Raw genomic sequence first — 19,623 nt, 5'->3', positions numbered from 1 at the left:
GGCAGGCATTGGCAGGCCATTCAGCATCTGGCTCATGTTTGGGCCAAGCCGGGTGCCTCATGAAAGTCTGGAGGGAAATACAGAGGCCAATTCTCCATAAGCATTAGGCTCAGAAATATCCTGCTTCCCAGTGAAAAGTTTAAGTTGACTTTCACGCCACCTTCATCAAACCGAGGTTGGTCAACACTTTTCACCACTGCCACTGGACACTTTGACTTCCAATTTTGCTACCTGCTCTACAAAGATACCCCCTTCCTTCCTTTCCTGCATTCTCCCTACAACCTTGTCTTTTTTTGAGTATATCCACTCTGTCTCATCATTGTCCATCTCTGCTTCCCAAAACCTTATATAGTACAGAAATTGGCCAATCAAGATTACCATGTGGAAGAGCATCCATTTACTGAATAAGGTAGCTGGCTCCTGGGGGCAGAAAAGTGATTAGACACAGAGATAAAAATCATAATCCCTGCTCTCCTGGATGCACTGTCCAGTGGGGAGACAGACAGATGAACAAATACAACTTGATAACTACAACAATCAAGTGAATTATATAATTTAGACTGGAGAAAGAGAGAGCAAACGTTATCATAAGACAGTGTGTCCACTACTTACTCTCTAACAGATTTCCTCATAAACCACTAGGCTTGCCAACTTGTTGAATGAGATAAAATTGGAGGGTCAGGGGAGGGGAAATCCATATGCTTCTTAGTATTTCATTCCATAAATACATAAATAATGAAACCATTAATGATATCATCATGTTGATTCAATAAGTTTGAAAGCAAAATTGATAGTAATCTTTGGAAGAAATTGTATATGTGTCTATGTATGTACATACATAGACATACATATTGCTTTCTGAAATTTTCAATGACTTTATGCTTCTTCTGAAGCAATTCGAGTTTAGTATTTGAGACCCCTGGGTCAAAACATCTTCTTGAGTATACTGAAGAACATTTGGATTAATTTCAGACATGTATTTTGGTTTATATAGTGTTTTTTATCCATGGTAACTTATTTACTGTTTAAAAACATATTGAGAACAAACAACAGCAGCAACCCTGAATTGAATGAAAGTCCTGAGAAGGGCTTTGCCCAATCAGTGCATGTGCATGTTTACACTAATCTCCTGTCTGAACCTAGGAACTGGCTGAATGAGCTAGCAGATGGCCTGTCTGGCTGCATTATAAATGATAATTTATTTTTATTTGTTTTACTCATTCATTCATTTTGAGACAGGGTCTCACTCTGTCATCCAGGCTAGAGTATGGTGACACAATTATGGCTCACTGCAGCCTTCAACTCTCAGGCTCAAGCAATCCTCCTGTCTCAGCCTTCTGAGTAGCTGGGACTACAGGTGCACACCACCATGCCCAGCTAATTTTTAAAACTTTTTTTGTAGGGACTGGGTCTTATTATGTTGCCCAGGCTGGTCTCAAACTCGTGGACTCAAGCGATCCTCCTTCCTTGGCCTCTCAAAGTGCTGGGATTACAGGCTTGAGCTACCACATATGGCCAGAAATGACATTTTAAAACCAACTATTACGTACACAGATATATGATGCTCTCTGATTGTTTTATCTAAAAATAGGAGTGCCTTAGGTTTATTGGCTCATTTTGTTTTATCAAACAACTTAAATGCAGTTGTGAATATTTTTGTTTACCCTCATAACCTGAGAATTTAGAATGAATATAATTATTGCCATTTTCACAAGTAAAATTGGAACGAGAATATAAAACAGTGGAATACAGGTGCAGCTAAGAGTAGCAGAGGTAAGCCATCTATAGAATATTAAAATTTCTTCCATGTGTGTTGTTAGAAATCTATAAAACCAAAATTTTTTCATGCCTGGAATCCCAGCACTTTGGGAGGCCAAGGCGGGCAGATTACCTGAGGTGAGGGGTTCGAGACTAGCCTGGCCAACATGGTGAAACCCCGTCTCTACTAAAAGTACAAAAATTAGCCAGGTGTGGTGGGCACCTGAAATCCCAGCTACTCAGGAGGCTGAGGCAGGAGAATTGCTTGAACCCGGGGAGTGGAGATTACAGTGAGCCAAGATTGTGCCACTGCACTCCAGCCTGGGCGACAAGAGTAAGACTTCATTTCAAAACAGCAACAACAACAACAACAAACAACAAGAACAACAACAAAACCCAACATTTTCTAATACAAGGAAACTCACTAAGCTTTATAAGGCCCCCATCCCTCCAAGTATTATCCTTTCCGGCTGCCCCAACATTAATGACAGCAACTGGTACTAGCCATCTGACATACAATCCCAGTACATTTTTGGGCTCTGATGTTTTCTAGGAATTTTTTCTTTACAGACTTATTGAAATTAAGCTCTATTCCCTCAAGACCTGGTTTTCATAAACTGTATAGTTTTGCAGTTGAGGGGAAATGGTCTTAGGTCAGTCAATCCACTGTTGACACAGAAATGAAATGAGGTAACGGTAGGATTATTGTTAAGATTGAGAGATGTATGAATCATCCTATGCTCTTTCCCAGCCCCCAGGTGACCATATAATTAAAATATCCTTGATATTTCTATGTAGTTTAAGTTTTTAATTCTAGAACCCCTCAATCTTTCTCTATTCAACTTGAATGAAAAGACATTTAGTATCCAGAAGACACTCAGCACTCAGAAGCAAAGGAAGAAAAATGGAAACATAATGGTCAATGCCCATGTTCTACCCCAGGATCAAATGAGGCATTAATATTGAGAGTTGTGATTCTGAATGAGTCTTAACCTCATGCACATCTTAGTTGTTCAAAAATGTGTCATGTCAGCAAGGTGGTAACAGTGAAGATTTTCTACAATCAAAATAGTATAGTTATGTTCTGTTGTATAAAATAGAAATAAATGGACCACATTGATCAGAAAAATCACCCTAGCATATTCCGACAGCTTAATTTTTAAAAAGCTATGTTATATTAACAATTTAACCACATAGATCTGTCAGCTAGAATACATGTTGCATATTTAATTGACAATAATTTTTTTTGCTCTCTCAGAGAGTTGTAGATAGATTTTGGGGTTATCAAATGGTTCTGACTTTTTTTTTTTTTTTTTTTTGAGATGGAGTCTTGCTCTGTCACCAGGCTGGAGTGCAGTGGCAAGATCTCAGCTTACTGCAACCTTTGCTCCCTGGTTTAAGTGATTCTCCTGCCTCAGCCTCCTGAATAGCTGGGATCACAGGCGCACGCCACCATGCCCAGCTAATTTTTGTATTTTTAGTAGAGACGGGGTTTCACCATGTTGGCCAGGATGGTCTCAATCTCCTGACCTCGTGATCTGCCCGCCATGGCCTCCCAAAATGCTGGGATTACAGGCATGAGTGACTGTGCCCGGCTGGTTCTGACATATTTTTAAGAAAGACTAGGCTGATGCTATGGTAACTCAGTTATTCATGATACATGTCATCTTGTAAGTAGGAGTATTCAATATTCATGGTTTTGAAGCAATTTCAGAGTACTATAATCACCACACTTGACAGACTTCAGAATTCATTGAAAATCTCTGGAAATAATTAGCAATTTGTTATCATAGACTCTAAACAGACCTTCAAAATGCATTACATAGATTTGGTAAAACAGATTGTCAGTCTGCCAAAAGTAATCACCTTGGTTTGATTTGCATTGAAGGAAAATTTTAAAATGTAAAGCTAAACTCTTCAGGATCACTGCACTGGGTTTCTATAGGACAACACTGAACAGGGCTGCCACTGAAACACCTTGGAGGAGAGCCTCAAACTCCCTGAACACAGCTTCCAGCACACTACTGGGAGAATGATTGGGACTCAAAAATATGTGCAATGAATGTACTTACGAGCTTGTTGGAAAGGAAGTAAAGAGGTTGTATGTAATTACCTCAAATTAATACTACTACAGATAAAGTAGTAATCAGTACTGACAAAGTAATAGTAGCGCTAAAGTAGTACTAATAGCCCTATACTAGTAGTAGTAATAAAGTGGCATCGCTATTGATTCTATCCGTCTACCTACCTACCTGTCTGGATGGGAGGGCATAGGATTTGACTGTAAGATTGGGCTTAGCAGTGAAGACAAAAGAGCTCATGCATGCTTTGGACAGGTACGCGCTCAAACTTGGTATCATGTGACTGTTCTGAATTCCAGAACCAAGGCTAAAAGGTGGAAGTTTTGTTTGACTGTGTCTCACATTTTCCTTTTGGTCTATTGTCTAACACATGTTGCTAGAATTCTTTTTACTCTGACTACCTTTTATGTATAGACAACGCCATTATTGACGAGATCACTCCCAAGCGGATTGGAGATTGTCCCAATACTTAGACCTATAGCAAGGCCTTGGGAGAAATGGTGGTGCAGCAGGAGAGCAGGAACCTAACCATTGCCATCCTAAGGCCCTGCATTGTGCAGAGCAACGTGGCACCAGCTTTTCCTGGTAAGCCCACTTACCTGGATTCTGTGTTTTGCTTTCAAACTAAGGTTCTTCTAGCCCAATTATTTTCTGATGTCTTTCTTCTTCTTCTTCTCCTCAGGATTTATAGTTAAGTGCAGCCAATCAAATATTAACCCATTATACTAGGGCAAAATTCCACTTTGGGATCATGCGGCTCTTCTGGCAGTTACCCTATCTTAGAGTTGGATGGAGATCTTAAATTAGCTTCTAACTACTCTAGTCTCAAAATTCCCATGGGTGATGTTTTCATATCTTGGCTTTCCCACTGTAGCTTAAACATATCAGAATGTTCTTGATGGCCAAATTGGTAGTATTGCAACTAACTGCCAGGGTGACAAAGCTCACAGAAGGATATCAGTTTGGGAATACTAATTTTTTTTAACCTCAGTATACTGCTATGTCCTTTTGAAAGTACTTTGAATTATACCATCTTCTTCAAAGCAAGTCCGTGAAGCTTTGAGGGCAGATACATTCCAGCTCCACCACTTACTGGCAATGCAACATTTTTGAGTTGTTCTTTCGGTAGAACAGGACAGATACTACTTTGGAGAGTTGGTTTAATGAGACAATGTATGAGGAGTGCTCAATCTCTAGTAAAAGGTAGATCCCTACTAAAAGGCTCAACGAATATTAGTCCCTTCATCTTCTCTTCCCGTATATCTGGTCTCCCATTATACGCATTTCGACTTTTATACTGTAAGGTAAAGAGACGGCTTAGGGCTTAGGAAACAAACTGAAAAATACATTTCCCTCTAACTACTCTTAAGCATAATCTTTCCTGTAACATCTTTAAGCAAGTCAATACACATTATTACCAATCATGTTTTCAATGTTCTCCTAAGGAGGCTAAAATCAGGAATGAGGTGAAGTATGGTTGGTGAATTGCTTAGCAGATCATGATATAAGGACAAGGTCCATTGTAGCCCTTAAGTTGTCATAAAACGCCACAAAACCATTCATGACTCCTGCTACAAACAACAATCCTGGCCAAATTTTAATTCTTGCACAAACTGCAGAAAATAGCCAATGCTTTGCCATTGATCTTTGGGATCTTAATCATACTGAATTAGATAGTTCTATCGGCTGGAGTCTCAGTGCCCTTGTTTGAAATTTATTAAGATTAGACGGCAGATGCTCCAAAGATACAACAATTTTCTGAAATGTGTAACCAATGGAAATTTTCTTTCTTTTAGGGTTGGGTTGATAATCTAAATGGATGTAGCTGACTCATTATTGCGGTATGTATAGGGATGAAGAAGTAACTGTAATGTAGTGGAGGAATAGTAAGAAAATTCTTAGTGCTGGCTTAGCTTCATTGATCCAAAAACATAAATGCTACTTTACTATCAATTGAAGCATATTATTTCAATTATTCTGGTTATAATATGGAGGCAGGATGAAATTGTTTTTATTCTTTTAGAATTTTTTTTATCAGGAAAACAGAGGTAAAGTGCTATCAATTACTATTTAAGAGTTCTATTTTGAAAAGTCTTTAATAAGGATTTTTCTTTTCTTTTTAAAAAAGACTTTTTTAAAAATTAAAAATAAAAGAAGCAAAAGTCTTAGGAAAAGGAGGCAAGTAGCCCTGCCACTCTATGTACAGTAATAACAATATCTGTCCCAGTTATTATGTACAATATTATAAAAAATGTCGCAGACAGTACAAATTAAGGCACTTATTTCTCAAAGGACATCAAGTCTTATGCCCCGTGGGAGGGAAGATGCCACTTAATTATTGCACCATTTTGAAAAACAGAACTCGTCAAGGCGGATAGTGGTCTTTTCCCACCTGGTCTTCAGTCACAGATGGGGGCTGGGGCAGTGGCGCCGTCTTCGTCGTCGAGGTAGACCCTATGGAGCCACACCGCCCTGCCGAGTTCTCTGGGTGCAATAAATACCAGTCACAGTTTGGGAGGGGGCCGTGTGCAGGTGGGGAGGCCTCTGGGCTGCATGTGCCGCTTCCTGTGCAGGGCAAGGTGGGCAGAGCGCAAGAAGGCGTGGTGGCACCAATGGCCCTGAAATGGCCAGTGGCCCCTGTGCTTGTGGTGGTGGAGCGTTAGCTTGTCTGAGTGAGCACGCTTCCAGCTGCTTCCATCCCAGTGGCAGTGGTCGGGCTTGTCACTTGTGTGCTGCGCAGATGTGCCTGCAAGGGAGAATTCTTGCTGTAGGTCTGGCCGTAGCCGCATAGGTATGCCCGGTGTTGCGGTTCCCAGGCCAGGAGCAGCTGTCATGCTTGGGCTTGGCCTCCAGCCGCTCCAGCGGGGACGCCGGTGCCACCACAAGGAGACTGCGGGCGACTGGGGGTGCCAGGCCCAGGGCTGTGGCGGTGGCGGCCAACGCCTAAGAGACTAAAGACAGGGGCGTGGAGGGGCGGAGCTGGGTGGGGGGCGCCTCATGAAGGCCGGGCTGGGTGTCCCAAACCAGGGCCACGGAAAGGCAGCGGGAAGGAGGCGTGCGGGCCGTAGGGGCTGAGGGGCGGGTGTTGGGGGCGGAATGGGAGGGACCCGGGACCTCGCATGCATGAAGCCGCAGGCCCGGGGCGCCCTAGTGTTTGAGGACGCGCGGTCCATGCCTGAACCTGGGTGCGCAGCCGCAGCTGCCGCCATCTGCCTCAGGGGGTTGGGCTTTGACCAGGCGGCTGGGCAGCGCCAGTTGAAAGCGGTTGAGCAGGCCGGGCGCAGTGGCTCACGCCTGTAATCCCAGCACTTTGGGAGACCAAGGCGGGCCGATCACGGGGTCAGGAGATCGAGACCATCCTGGCTAACACGGTGAAACCCCATCTCTACTAAACATACAAAAAAAAAAAAGTAGCCGGGCGTGGTGGCGGGCGCCTGTAGTCTCAGCACTTTGGAAGGCTGAGGCGGGCGGATCACGAGGTCAGGAGATGGAGAACATCCTGGCTAACAGGTGAAACCCCGTCTCTACTAAAAGTACAAAAACCAATTAGCCGGGTGCGGTGGCGGGCGCCTGTAGTCCCAGCTACTCCGGAGGCTGAGGCAGGAGAATGGCGTGAACCCAGGAGATGGAGCTTGCAGTGAGCCGAGATCGCGCCAATGCACTCTAGCCTGGACGACACAAGGAGACTCCATCTCAAAACAACAACAACAACAACAACAACAACAACAACAACAACAAAAACAACAAAAACCAGCTGAGCAGCGCGGGCCTTCTGGCAGCGGGTCCAGCTCCAGGGCGCCCTAGGGCAGCGGCGTGCAGTGTTCGGGTAATAGGACGCAGACGGTGGGGTCGCCGGGGGCTTCGGGGTGGCCTCGGCCCCAGGCCATCCAGCCCTGTGGACCGAATGGAGTCCCACACGCTGTTGAGGTAGTTGTGGGTTCCCCTGGCCTCGGGCTCGGCGCAGGGTCAGCGCTCCTGCAGGCGGCGCTTGCGGTACGGGCTGGTGAAAGTGGAGACGGACGGCAGGATGGATTCACTTGGCGACATGGCGGGGAGCTGGGAAGACGGACACCGGTGAGTGGCTGCCCGGGAGGGCTGGTCGGGGCGCGGACAGGCGGGCATGGTTCTGCCAAGGATTTTGCTTTATTTATCGCAAGATGGGGGTATTTCCTCCTTCCTGCAGTTTATAATTGCATGAATTAGTGCAGTGAATTGAGGATGCAGTAAAAATATCTTCAAAGATTATTAAATTCGTTATTATAAAACACATAGAAGAGTTTATGTGTGTGTATGGAAAGCAGGTATACATCAATAATTCTTAATGAATACAAGAAAGAACTACCAATATTGGGGCAAATTTTTCAAATACAAACATCAGTGAATATAGGCAAGGCCTTTTCTTTTTTATTATTCTATTTTAAGTTCTAGGGTACATGTGCACAACGTGCAGGTTTGTTACATAGGTCGACATGTGCCGGCAACGCCTTTTCAATAATGTCTTACAAGGAGAAACGTGGCTCCTCTAGGTGAGCAGCCCTCAGTGCGCATCTCCCTGAAGTCCACATTGATCCGGCAGAGCTGTGGGGTTCACAGCTCACACTGAGGCATTCAGGGCCTAAACCCCACTTTACTCTTTTGTACAATGAATGGGAAATCAGTGATCTAAATGAGTTTAAATCTTATTAGGGATTCAGACTGCCCTTCAGACTCTGTCTCTATTCCTCCCAGAGCTGGGTTCAACATGAATTCAAATAGAAATATGAGACAATGAATTATGGTAGTGACAAAGACCTTCCTTCGAATTCCGGATTTTTCTAGCAGCCCCTTTCTTTCTGCTTCCCACCTGCCTTCAACTCTTTCTCCTAAAAAAGTTCAGTTGGGGTGAACGTTTGATGACTTAGAACATCATTATTTTAACGTGATCCCAAAGCGGTTTTCATTATATGCAAAGCTGCATATTTATTCACATTTTAAAAAATGTTCTAAATTGGTTTCTTATGTCCAAAAGAAGGGGAGCTAGTTATAAGAAAAGAGAACTGAGTAACATAAGAAAGTGCTAATCATTTCAAATTAAAGTGGGAAACATGCAAAGCAGAAAGAATGAATTTCATAAACTCAACAAATTATTAACATAAATAATTCCAAACTCTTGTATCTATATAACATCAGTGATCTGTGAGGTGAAATGAGATTCTGAAGAAAAAGTAAATAATAAGGCCATTTTTCTAAGCCAAAAAAGTTTTTGTCATTAGTTGTGGAATTTCACCAATTAATTTTTTTTCAAATAAAACTTTCTTAAACTTTTACTGCCTACTATTGCTTGTAGGTTAGTAAACCCTAGCAGAAAACAAAATCATTAAGGAAATGGAAAACAAACATTAATGGGAAATTTATGTAATCTTAATTCTTAACGTGTCTTATGAGTTAATTTTTAAAATGTGAAGGTTTATTCTTGGTGTTTGGTAATTAAGTTTATTAATCTCTCACAAATATGAGGAATTTTATTCCCTAAAGGAACGTGAGGAACACGAGTAGTTCAAGAAAATGCTGAAGATGCGCTTGGCTGGGAAGCTAGGATAGGCTGACGAAGTCAGACTTAGTGTGGGAACCTGGTAAGCAGTGGATCGATGTTAGCTGTTTTCACTTATTGCACTAGTATAATCAGTTTGATGGTACATACTTCAGCCCCAGCTGTTACTTAAGACCTGGTTTCACATTTTATGTTCTTTTTCTGTGCAGGCTGGGAAAGGGTTTCTTCTGTCCATAAAAGCTACTCCAATGGCTGTGGGAGACTTAATTCCAATTCCAGGTGATACAGCCGTCAGTCTCCCACTAGCTGTAGGATGGTGTGCTGCAGTTCACAGGTGTGGATGCTCAAGTGGGCTTTCAAAGATGTCATGAGAGGGAGGGGTAATGTATTAGGCACATTTTCCAAATATAGGCATTTCATTGTACAAGACCCCAAATGTGAGAGGGTGTTTGTTTCAGTGTTTTATAGAGTTCCTAATATGCCATCATATATACATTCAGTTGTTTTCAAAATACAGTTTAGTATTTGGCTACTCACAAAGTAATAAAACATTTAAATCACTTAACCATACAATTCTTGATAACCAAAAGGCTTTTCTTTCTATTCAGTAGTTTAACATTCAGCTTTCTTTTTTAGGGCAAAGGAGATAGAAGTGGATGAAATGACAGAGTATTTTTTTAATTGAACTCTGATTAATGCCAAAAGTGTTCAATCACTATGTGTGGGGAAGTTTCCTGGTACAAAGGAAAAAAAAACAGGTTGTTCATACACTTGGCTGTGTTAGTAAGTGGTAAACAGAATTAAACTTTTCTTATGTGAACTCACACATATGTGCTTCATAATATGTCACTCCTATTTAACATCTCTTTCACACACACAGTCATCCCCCCCACACATACCCTTTTGCTAGTCTTCTTCCATTTTGCTTATTAACCCAAAGAAAGAAAAAAATATGGAAGCCTTCTTGCATAGGTTGCGTTAATCAGATGAATTATTGAAGCCACTCTGTCTAAATATTATTTTCCCTTATTTTTCCTTCATTAGTTTCCCATTCTGTTGTATTTATTTAATTTTTATTTCATTTTCCAGACCTAAGTCAATGTTAGTCTACCACTGTACGTCTGGTAACCTCAATCCCTGCAACCGGAGCAAAATGTGTAAGTACTTTAGCCATGTAACTGCATAATTACTAGTGTCTGACACAGAGAAAAAATAGACAGTGTGTCATGGAGCTTAGAGCCTACATGGGGAGAAAGACAAAAAGTAAGCAAAGAGGCAAAATAATGAGAAATTGTAAATGTGTGGTAGTTAACTAGAATGTACTGTGGTTACCAAGGAAAGCAGTCATTGGGAACACATACGTGATTGTAAGCAGTAGGGGGTCCATTGGCTATGGAGATTTTAAAAAACAATGATGAAATAAAGCAAAAGTTGATAGTTATAAAAAATCTCAGTGATAAAATACTGAAATACTCCTCCCTGCTGGGGCAGTGGGTCCTATACACACCCCTTCCCTTCTTGATATGTCACTGAGAATGCAATGTGATCAATGACCAATGAGATTTAGAAAAGTCGGGTGATGTTATTCCTTCCTTATTGAGTGTGTAATACTGATCACTAATTTATGCAACTTGTTTCTCTTGGGTGTGTGTTAACTACTCTACTAGTGATTTGTAAAAGTGAATAGGAATCACTATGGGAAAATAAAAACAACACGCAGATTCCTTGGACCCTGGGACCAAGGTCTTGGGTGATGCTGAGGAAACTATATTTTTAATAAGCATCTAAATGATTCTTGATGCTTGGGGAAATGCTCTTTGAGAAACCCTGTACTATACAAATGATTAATTTGTCTGAATGTAAGGGATTTAATCTGGTCAATGTACAAAAACCATGGAAATCAATTTGAGTACAACTTAAACATCTAATGATGGTAGAAGATAAAAGTAGGGAGTTTTGCTATTCTGTAGGATTACTTAGTACCTACTAACTAACGCACCCCTTCTATCCCTGTTACATAGGTACCACTAGCTCTTCATATTCCAATGATAAGCCATGGTACCGCACTGAAAGTTCTATTGCAGGGCAGCTAGACACTGTGGCTGATTTATATATTGTGACTTTGAATTGGAAAATGCTTTCCAGGAATGAAAAATGCCTGGCATGCCTGTTTCCTCTACCTCTCTCACACCTATAGCAAACACTGTGGGCTGATAAGACATTGGTTATCCCTGTGCCAAGGCTCTGTTCTAGATTCCCTTCTAACAGCATTTCTGGAAGCTATTACTATTAATTTGATGTCGCATTCAAATTAAACTCATTGGTGTTTCCTATCTGGGACTCTTAGGAGGGATAAAAATGCTGCCTACTGGGAGCAGTAGCCATGTTAACAGGAGGTTGAGCATATATAGTCTCAGGTGATATTACAAGGAGTGATAGACAGCTGAGTGGGTGAACATGGGCTATCTCTCCATGGAATTGTCTCCTTTAGTGTCCCTTAAGAAGAGTTTTTGATCTCCTGCATACAGGTCTTAAGCATCTTTTATCAGATTTATACCTAGGGCCTAGGTAATTGATGCTTTTTGTTTGTTTGTTTTTTTACTAATTTAAATGTGTTTTGTAAAAATATATTTTCTAATTGTTTGTGGATGATGTCAAATGCAATTGATTGTTGTATATTGACCATATATTCCCCTATCTTGCTAAACTTATTATTGCTAGAAATTGTATAATATTTCCTCATGATTTCCTATGTAGACAGTTATTTAATCTGCAAAAATACCAGTATTATCCCCATTTTTTCAAGCTTTAGGTCTTTATTTTTCTTGTTGATGGCACCATCTCAGCTCACTGCAAGCTCTGCCTCCTGGGTTCACTCCATTCTCCTGCCTCAGCCTCCCGAGTAGCTGGGACTAGAGGCACCCACCACCATGCCTGGCTAATTTTTGTATTTTTAGTAGAGACAGGGTTTCACCGTGTTAGCCAGGATGGTCTCGATCTCCTGATCTCATGATCCACTTGCCTTGGCCTTTCAAAGTGCTGGGATTACAGGCGTGAGCCACTGCGCCCAGCCTTCTTGTTGAACTTCTACTATAATGGTGAATAAAAATGGCAAGAGTACGTATTGTTGTCTTGCTGCTAATTTTAAGCAGAAGACTTCAAATATTAAACTCACCTGCCATTTTTAGGATAAACCCAACTTGGTCATACCATGTTATCTTTTTTTATATTTTGTTTAATTCAGTTTGCTAATCATATAGTTCCCTTGTTTTTCTATTCTCTGAAAGTGCTTGTGTAATAGTGGAGTAATCTATTCCTTGAAAACTTGGGAAAAGCACCTTTAAATTATCTGGATTTATAATTTTTTGTGAGAAGATTTTTTATTGCTTCAGTGTCTTTAATAGTTAAAGAATTTTGCGGGCTTCATTTTCTGCTGGAATCAGTTTTAGTAAATTATATTTGTCTCTTTTTCTAAGATTTTGTCTGTTTTAAAATGTATTTACATTCTTTTTTTCATATTCATATTTTTGTCCTAAACTGTATCTGTAATTATGCTTCTTTTTAAATTCATAATATTTGTGTGTCTTCTCTTTTCTTCTCAGCTAGTCTTCAAAGGTTTTATTTTATTTCTTTTTTTGAAAGAACCAACTTCTTCAGGCTTTATTGACTTTTTTCTTTTTTCTTTCTTTCTTTCTTTTTTTTTTTTTTGGAGATGGAGTCTCGCTCTTGTTGCCCAGGCTGGAGTACAATGGCATGATCTTGGCTTACCACAACCTTTGCCTCCCGAGTTCAAGCAGTTCTCCTGCCTCAGCCTCCTGAGTAGAGTAGCTGGGATTACAGACACGCACCACCACACCTGGCTAATTTTGTATTTTTAGTAGAGATGGGGTTTCTCCATGTTGGTCAGGCTGGTCTTGAACTCCCAACCTCAGGTGATCCACCCACCTCGGCCTGCAAAAGTGCTAGGATTACAGGCATGAGCCGCCGCACCCAGCCTATTGACTCTTTATTATGCTGCTTTGTTTTCTATTGCATAGATGTATTGCCTTATGTCTTTTTTCCCCTTCCTCCTGTTTTCTTTGATTATGTTTTTCTTCTCTTTAACTTAGAAATATAGCCCATGAATATTTGGCTTGTCTAATACATCATTTATGGCTTTATACTTCCCTCAATGCCACTTTGGCTGTATCCCACACATTTTGTTGTATGATGTTTATGTTATCATTACTCTCTAATCCTTAAACATTTTTCATTTGAATTTCTTCTTTGACCTTTGAGGATGTAGAGTACAGTTTTCAATTGCCAAATTACATTTTCTACATGTGCATGAGTTTCTCCTTGTCCCTCACATCAGAAAGACAGTAGCTTAATGGTTAAAAGTCTTGGGTTTTGAGATCTAATAGACTTGGATTCAAATCATAGCTCATTCACTCACTCCTGTATTTATTAAATAGACATTATTCTTGGTGCTGAGGACATATCACTAAACAGAAATCCGTGCTCACATAGATGTTATTTGCTGGTATGCATCCCGCAATTTAGTAGACTCCACTACTTATTAGTTGTATCAGTTGGAAAAAGTCTCTCAGTTTCTCCCTGTAGATGAATTTTTTTATCTGTCAGTGAGAATAATAATTATTCTATTCTAGGGAGCTCTTGGGAGAACGTAGTGAGATAAAGTGCTTAGTACAGTGGTTAGAACAGTGAACATTTTAGTAAATGCTTGCTATTACCATATGGACAGCTTTCTCAGAAAGCCTTTCCTAACCCAGCCCCACCCCTCCCCTTCCGGGCACCCAGACAGAGCTAGATGCTTCTTTTGTGTTCCTCCAGAGCGTATTGTACCGGCCTCTAGCAGAATACTCAGGCAAAAGATTGTAATCATGAATTGTCCACATCTCCCACCAGATCGCCAGTTCTTTAAAGACAAAGAATATATCATATGTAATTTTTTTTTACCTCAGCATCTACCACAGTGCCTGGCAAGTGTTAAATGCTGAATAAATATATTTGGAATGACTAAAGGAAGGATTGATACAGATTTAGGAAAAGGAAAGTAAGTGTATTTTGCTGAGATATTTATTCATTCGTTTAGTCAAAAAATGTTTATTAGGCACTGATTACCTGTCAGCCACTTTTCAAGGTACTGTATAGGTTCAAACAAAACAGACAAAATTTTGTTACGGTACTTAAATCTTAGAAAGGAGAAATATACATCAGATATGGTTGAGTGATTGCAGAAAAATAAAACAGATTAAAGAAGTAAACAGTATTGTGGGAAGGCTGCTATTTGATAAGTGATGGCCAAAGAAAGTCTCTCTGATAAGGTGTCATCTTAGTAGAGACCTGAAAGAAGTGAGAGGGCAAATCAGAGGGACACGTGGATGAAATATTCCAAGTTGAAGAAACAGTAAGTGCTGAAGTTCTTTAATAATATTCAAGGACAGCAAGGAGGCCAGTATGGCTGCAGCAGAAGCACCGAGAGGGAGAGCGGTAAGAGGTGAAGTCAGAGTGGTGGGCAGAGAGAGTGAGGATGCAGAGAGTGCAAGCCCTTGCAGACCATGGCTTTGCCTCTAAATGAGAAGAGATTCCGTTGAAGGGCTCTGAATGGGGACGTTCCTGTAATACACTCTGAGTTACATTTTACAAGAATCCCTCTGGCTGCTACATGGAGGTCCAACTAGGGTTACAGGGGTAGTGGCAGAGACCACTTAGGACAGTATTGCAACATTCCAGGCTACAGTAGTGGTTTGGATCAGAGAGATAGCAGGTGGAAATTATGATTCTGGGTATTTTTCAAACAGGGAGCTGATAGATTTTGTTCAATTGTGTGTGGGTTGTTAAAGAGAGAGAAGAATCAAGGATAACCCCAAAGTTTTTGGCTGAACTACTAAACAAATTGAATTAGCATTTGGTTAGAGGTAGAAGACTGGTGAAATAGCAAGTTTGTGTATGTATTGGGAGGGGGGTGGTTAGCAGTGGGTGTATCAGGAGGCCCATTTTAGAGCTGTTAAATGTGAATGTCTCTTACACCTCCAGGTGGAAATGTTGAACAAGTATATGGATATATAGATCAGAACATCAGTGTTGAGATCAGAATCTCTTATGCTATCAACCTGTACATAACTTTTTTATTTACCACCATCTTTTTAAAGTATAAATCCCTATGGAACAGATGATTCTTAAGAATCTTCTCTGAAGAGGAGTTATATTTTTCAGATAGATTTTTAGCTGGCATTTTTTTAAGTAGGGCAATAATCGTATTACTATAATAACTGACATCATAATTGAATAATGAGCTTAGGCATATGCTTTGCAAAAACCTACATACCTTAAATAAAATTGAATTCAAATGAGTATCTTTTCAAAAGAACTACTGAATTCACAAATGTACATAAAAAGTTCTTAATTAAGCTTAATCTAAGTATTAATATAAAAAGAAAAACACTATTATGAATAAAACCCTGGATACCAGAGTGGACAACTGAGTCTGACATATTCCCAGAGAAATATTTAAAGTAAGCTAACACAAGAAAATCTTGCCTTTAGAATTTTTAAGTTAAACTTTTAATAAAGATTCAAATAAAACATTAAGAAACTTTCTAAATGGTTCTGAAAGTAATGGTCCAGCCAAGGAAATAAAGTTTCTAGCCTGTGTCTTGGGGCTTTCAGAATAGACTAGGTAACCTTAGAATTAAATGTGGATTTATGTTTTTCTGAAGAGTACCCCCTTTTGTTGACTACATGTGTTTCCCCAAGAATTTGTTTTAGAGTAGGTGTTTCAAATAAAGGGTCCAATTCTTAACCCATTCACATTGTTTCATTTTGCAGATAACCACTTGCCTAGCATAAAAATCTTTACGTTGTTCTCAGAAATTGATTCTTGACTCTACACAGCAAATCCTTCATCTTTATTGTTGTGACCCATTATAAATACCTTCCAGTGTGATGGGCTTATATTCTCCTATTCTCCTCTATCACTTACTCTCTTTTTTTCCCCAGGATTCCAGGTCTTGGCAACCTCTGAAATTCCAACTCCATTTGCGAGAGCTTTGAGGAGGCCATATGCTGATTTCACCACAAGCAACTTCACAACCCAGTACTGGAATGCCATCAGCCAGCAGGCCCCTGCCATTATCTGTGACTTCTATCTGTGGCTCATTGGAAGGAAACCCAGGTGAGAAGCTGAGTCAATGGCCTTGAGAATGTCACTGCATATGGGAGATTGAGGCCCCAAAGTCTTTAGGGCTTCCTTCAGCCAAAGATTAAAGGAGACAGCTGAATCTGACCCATATATACAGATTGAACACACCTACTCTGAAAATCCAAAATCTGAAATTCTCCAAAATCCAAAAAGTTTTGAGTGCTGACATGATGCCACAAGTGGAAAATTCCACACATCTTACCTCATGTGATGGGTCACAGTCAAAACACATTCAAAACTTTGTTTCATGCATAAAATTATTTAAAATATTGTATAAGATTACCTTCAGGTTATGTGTATGTGGCTAAGTGTGTATGAAATGTAAGTGAATTTTGTGTTTAGACATGGGTCCCATTCCCAAGATACCTCATTGCATTGAAGCAAATATTCCAAAATCTGAAAACAGTTGAAACCCAACACACTTCTGACCCAAGCATTTCAGATAAAGGATACTCAATCTGTGTAAGTTTTGAACAAACAAAGCAGTCATAGTGAGAAGCCACAGAAGCCTCCTACATTAAAAATACTCCAGCATAATAAAGGAAGGTAAATGTTAAAGCGCCTGCTTGATGAATTCAGCAAGTGATCATTCACACAAAAAGAAAACCAACTGAGACGCTGTCACTAGGGTTTTTCAAATAGGTAGAGAATCTTAAATATCCAGTAATGATGACAACCTCACTTACTGGGAGCTTACTCGTGGGGCTAAGGAGGATGCGTGATGATCCCATTTTTATTGTCACAGCTACCGAAGGAAGATACCCTCATCAACCCAATTTTACAAATGGAGAAATAGAAGCTCAGGGAAGAATCTGAAGTAGTCTCAAAGGAAGTGACAGGAAGGATGTGGAGAAAGCTGAGTGTCAAAGTCAGTATTCAAGACCGGATTTACTGCTACTTAGAGATGAATGAAGAAATCAGAGGGAACGCAGTGTGCTGATGCTAAAGCGGCTGTCACCACCCAGCTGTGTGACATAGGACATCTTCTTTCTCTGTCTCACTTGACTAATATGTTGTGTCAGGGGAGACATGATTGTAATTGCCTAAAGCAATTCTTGTGATCAAGAATCAGAAGCATGAACAGTATTGCCCTCTGTGTTAGCCCCTTTATAAGGGAGGAAGTCATCTTCAGCATGCTGAATTGTCATCTTTCTTAGCAGTGCAAATGACTAAAACTTAGCCAATGTAGAGTTTGTCCAAATTTGGAGCTCATAACTCAGTTCTTGAGCAAAGTGAAAAGAAAACATTGTGATTATGGGGAAAATATTTGTACGGGACTTATCAAATAAAGATAGGAAAAGAAGAAAACTCAAATATTATAGGCAGAAATGCTAAAGGTTTTAAAATATGTCAGGATTGGAAGAAGGCATGGATAAAGAACAAAGTTCAGTTAGGAAAGAGAAACACAGAAGGAAGAGACACAATAAAAGTCATTATGTATTCTGTGAGAAGTCAGACAGTAAGATTTGTGGGAAATGGGTTGGTTTGTTGTATGGTATGTATTTTAGCAATAATCTTTATGGCAGAGAAAGCTAAAATCCTTTAGCTTGCGTGAATGATCACTTGCTGAATTCCTCAAGGTAGGCATGATGAAGGAGGGTTTAGAGGAGACACAGACACAATGAACTGACCTAGATAGAAAGCCTTAGTATACTCAGCTAGGAATAGTGATTCTGAGGGCACACTGTGACATGATTATGTCATTACATGTATGGTAGTGATGGGGATGATAGAAGGAAGAACTTATGGCATATTTTCACCCCCACAAAAATCAGTTAAATATTGGGACACTAACCATCCAGGTCAAGAAAAGTCACATGCCATAGCCATGGTATTGCACATCATTCATCTTGCATTCTTTGAGAATAAGAAGATCAGTAAATAGTTCAGAAGTGGGAAGCTTTGTCCAGGCCTGTGTGTGAACCCAATGTTTTGTTTAGAAATAGAACAAGTAAGTTCATTGCTATAGCATAACACAAAATTTGCATAAGTGGTGGTCAGCAAATCCTTGAATGCTGCTTAATGTGAGAGGTTGGTAAAATCCTTTGTGCAACACTCTAACTCCCTGAATGTTTTGCTGTGCTGGGACCTGTGCATGCCAGACAAGGCCAAGCTGGCTGAAAGAGCAACCAGCCACCTCTGCAATCTGCCACCTCCTGCTGGCAGGATTTGTTTTTGCATCCTGTGAAGAGCCAAGGAGGCACCAGGGCATAAGTCTACTCACTTATATCTGTTTGTCTGGAACATAACCCATGTTTGTTTTTACAACAAATAAAATTGATCTTGAATAAAAAGTGAGTGGTCGTTGTCATTAATCTTTGAACCCAGATTAACCTTTTGGTCATGCCTAGTCTAAGAGAAAAGAGATATTCTTATCAATAAATACAGAGCCCAGCTATGTCAGTGAAGATCTCAAGTGCATGGACAGTAGTATAGGGAAGAGTCAGAGGCCAAAAAGACAGGAATGGCAGACATTGAACAGAGGAGAGTGTGGTGTTTGCCTCTGCATCAACTGAGATTATGGAAGAACACCTGAGGCTTGGGGAGAGCACCTACAAGATACCAATAAAGCATTCTAAGAACATCTATGAAGTGAGAAAATTTGAATTACTGTTGTTCTTGTGGTTATGATTGTATTTATGGTTGTTACTTCATTCGTATTAATCACCTATGTGCCCAAGTGTAATCATGAAGTTAGATTTTTCCCAGTTTTTTTTATTAGACTCAAGAATTCCCATAGACAAAGGCAATATCACTATCCTATTCATACATTTCTTGTCTCAGTTCTGCAGAGCCAAAATGTAGAGTCCAATGCAATAAAGGCTGACTTGGATTATCTAACTGGTACATGAGGCCCCGTGTGGTAGTTTACTCCAGAGGAAATTGGCACTTGCATATAATTGTAGTTAAGTTGATCCCTTGATATCAGAAAAGTTTCTGCTATGCAGTCCTTTTTGATGATTTCTTAATATATATCCTCATTTTAGATAGTAGCAGTGGCCATAGATGTACTTGGCAGCAGAGTATTACAGATGGTAAAGCTTGAATCT

General features: G+C 40.2%; 2 pseudogenes across 3 annotated transcripts; one reads left to right on the top strand and one right to left on the bottom strand.

Moving 5' to 3' along the window:
* On the bottom strand, positions 6,392-7,886 carry KLF2P2 (Kruppel like factor 2 pseudogene 2; annotated as a pseudogene).
* FAR2P2 (fatty acyl-CoA reductase 2 pseudogene 2) lies at positions 7,071-18,867 on the top strand (annotated as a pseudogene). Of its 3 annotated transcripts, NR_046258.1 has the most exons (6): positions 7,071-7,913; positions 9,354-9,451; positions 9,579-9,703; positions 10,459-10,526; positions 16,372-16,546; positions 17,319-18,867. The product of NR_046258.1 is annotated as a fatty acyl-CoA reductase 2 pseudogene 2, transcript variant 1 (transcript). The 3 variants fall into 3 exon arrangements; NR_046259.1 differs by lacking the exon at positions 9,354-9,451; NR_046260.1 differs by lacking the exons at positions 9,354-9,451; positions 9,579-9,703.
* Positions 18,868-19,623: the final 756 nt, after the last annotated feature.

The sequence above is a fragment of the Homo sapiens genome, chromosome 2 (assembly GCF_000001405.40).
Source record: "Homo sapiens chromosome 2, GRCh38.p14 Primary Assembly".
Lineage (NCBI taxonomy): Eukaryota > Metazoa > Chordata > Mammalia > Primates > Hominidae > Homo > Homo sapiens.
Note: the sequence above shows the minus strand (reverse complement) of the source record. Positions and strands in the feature narration are given on the sequence as shown.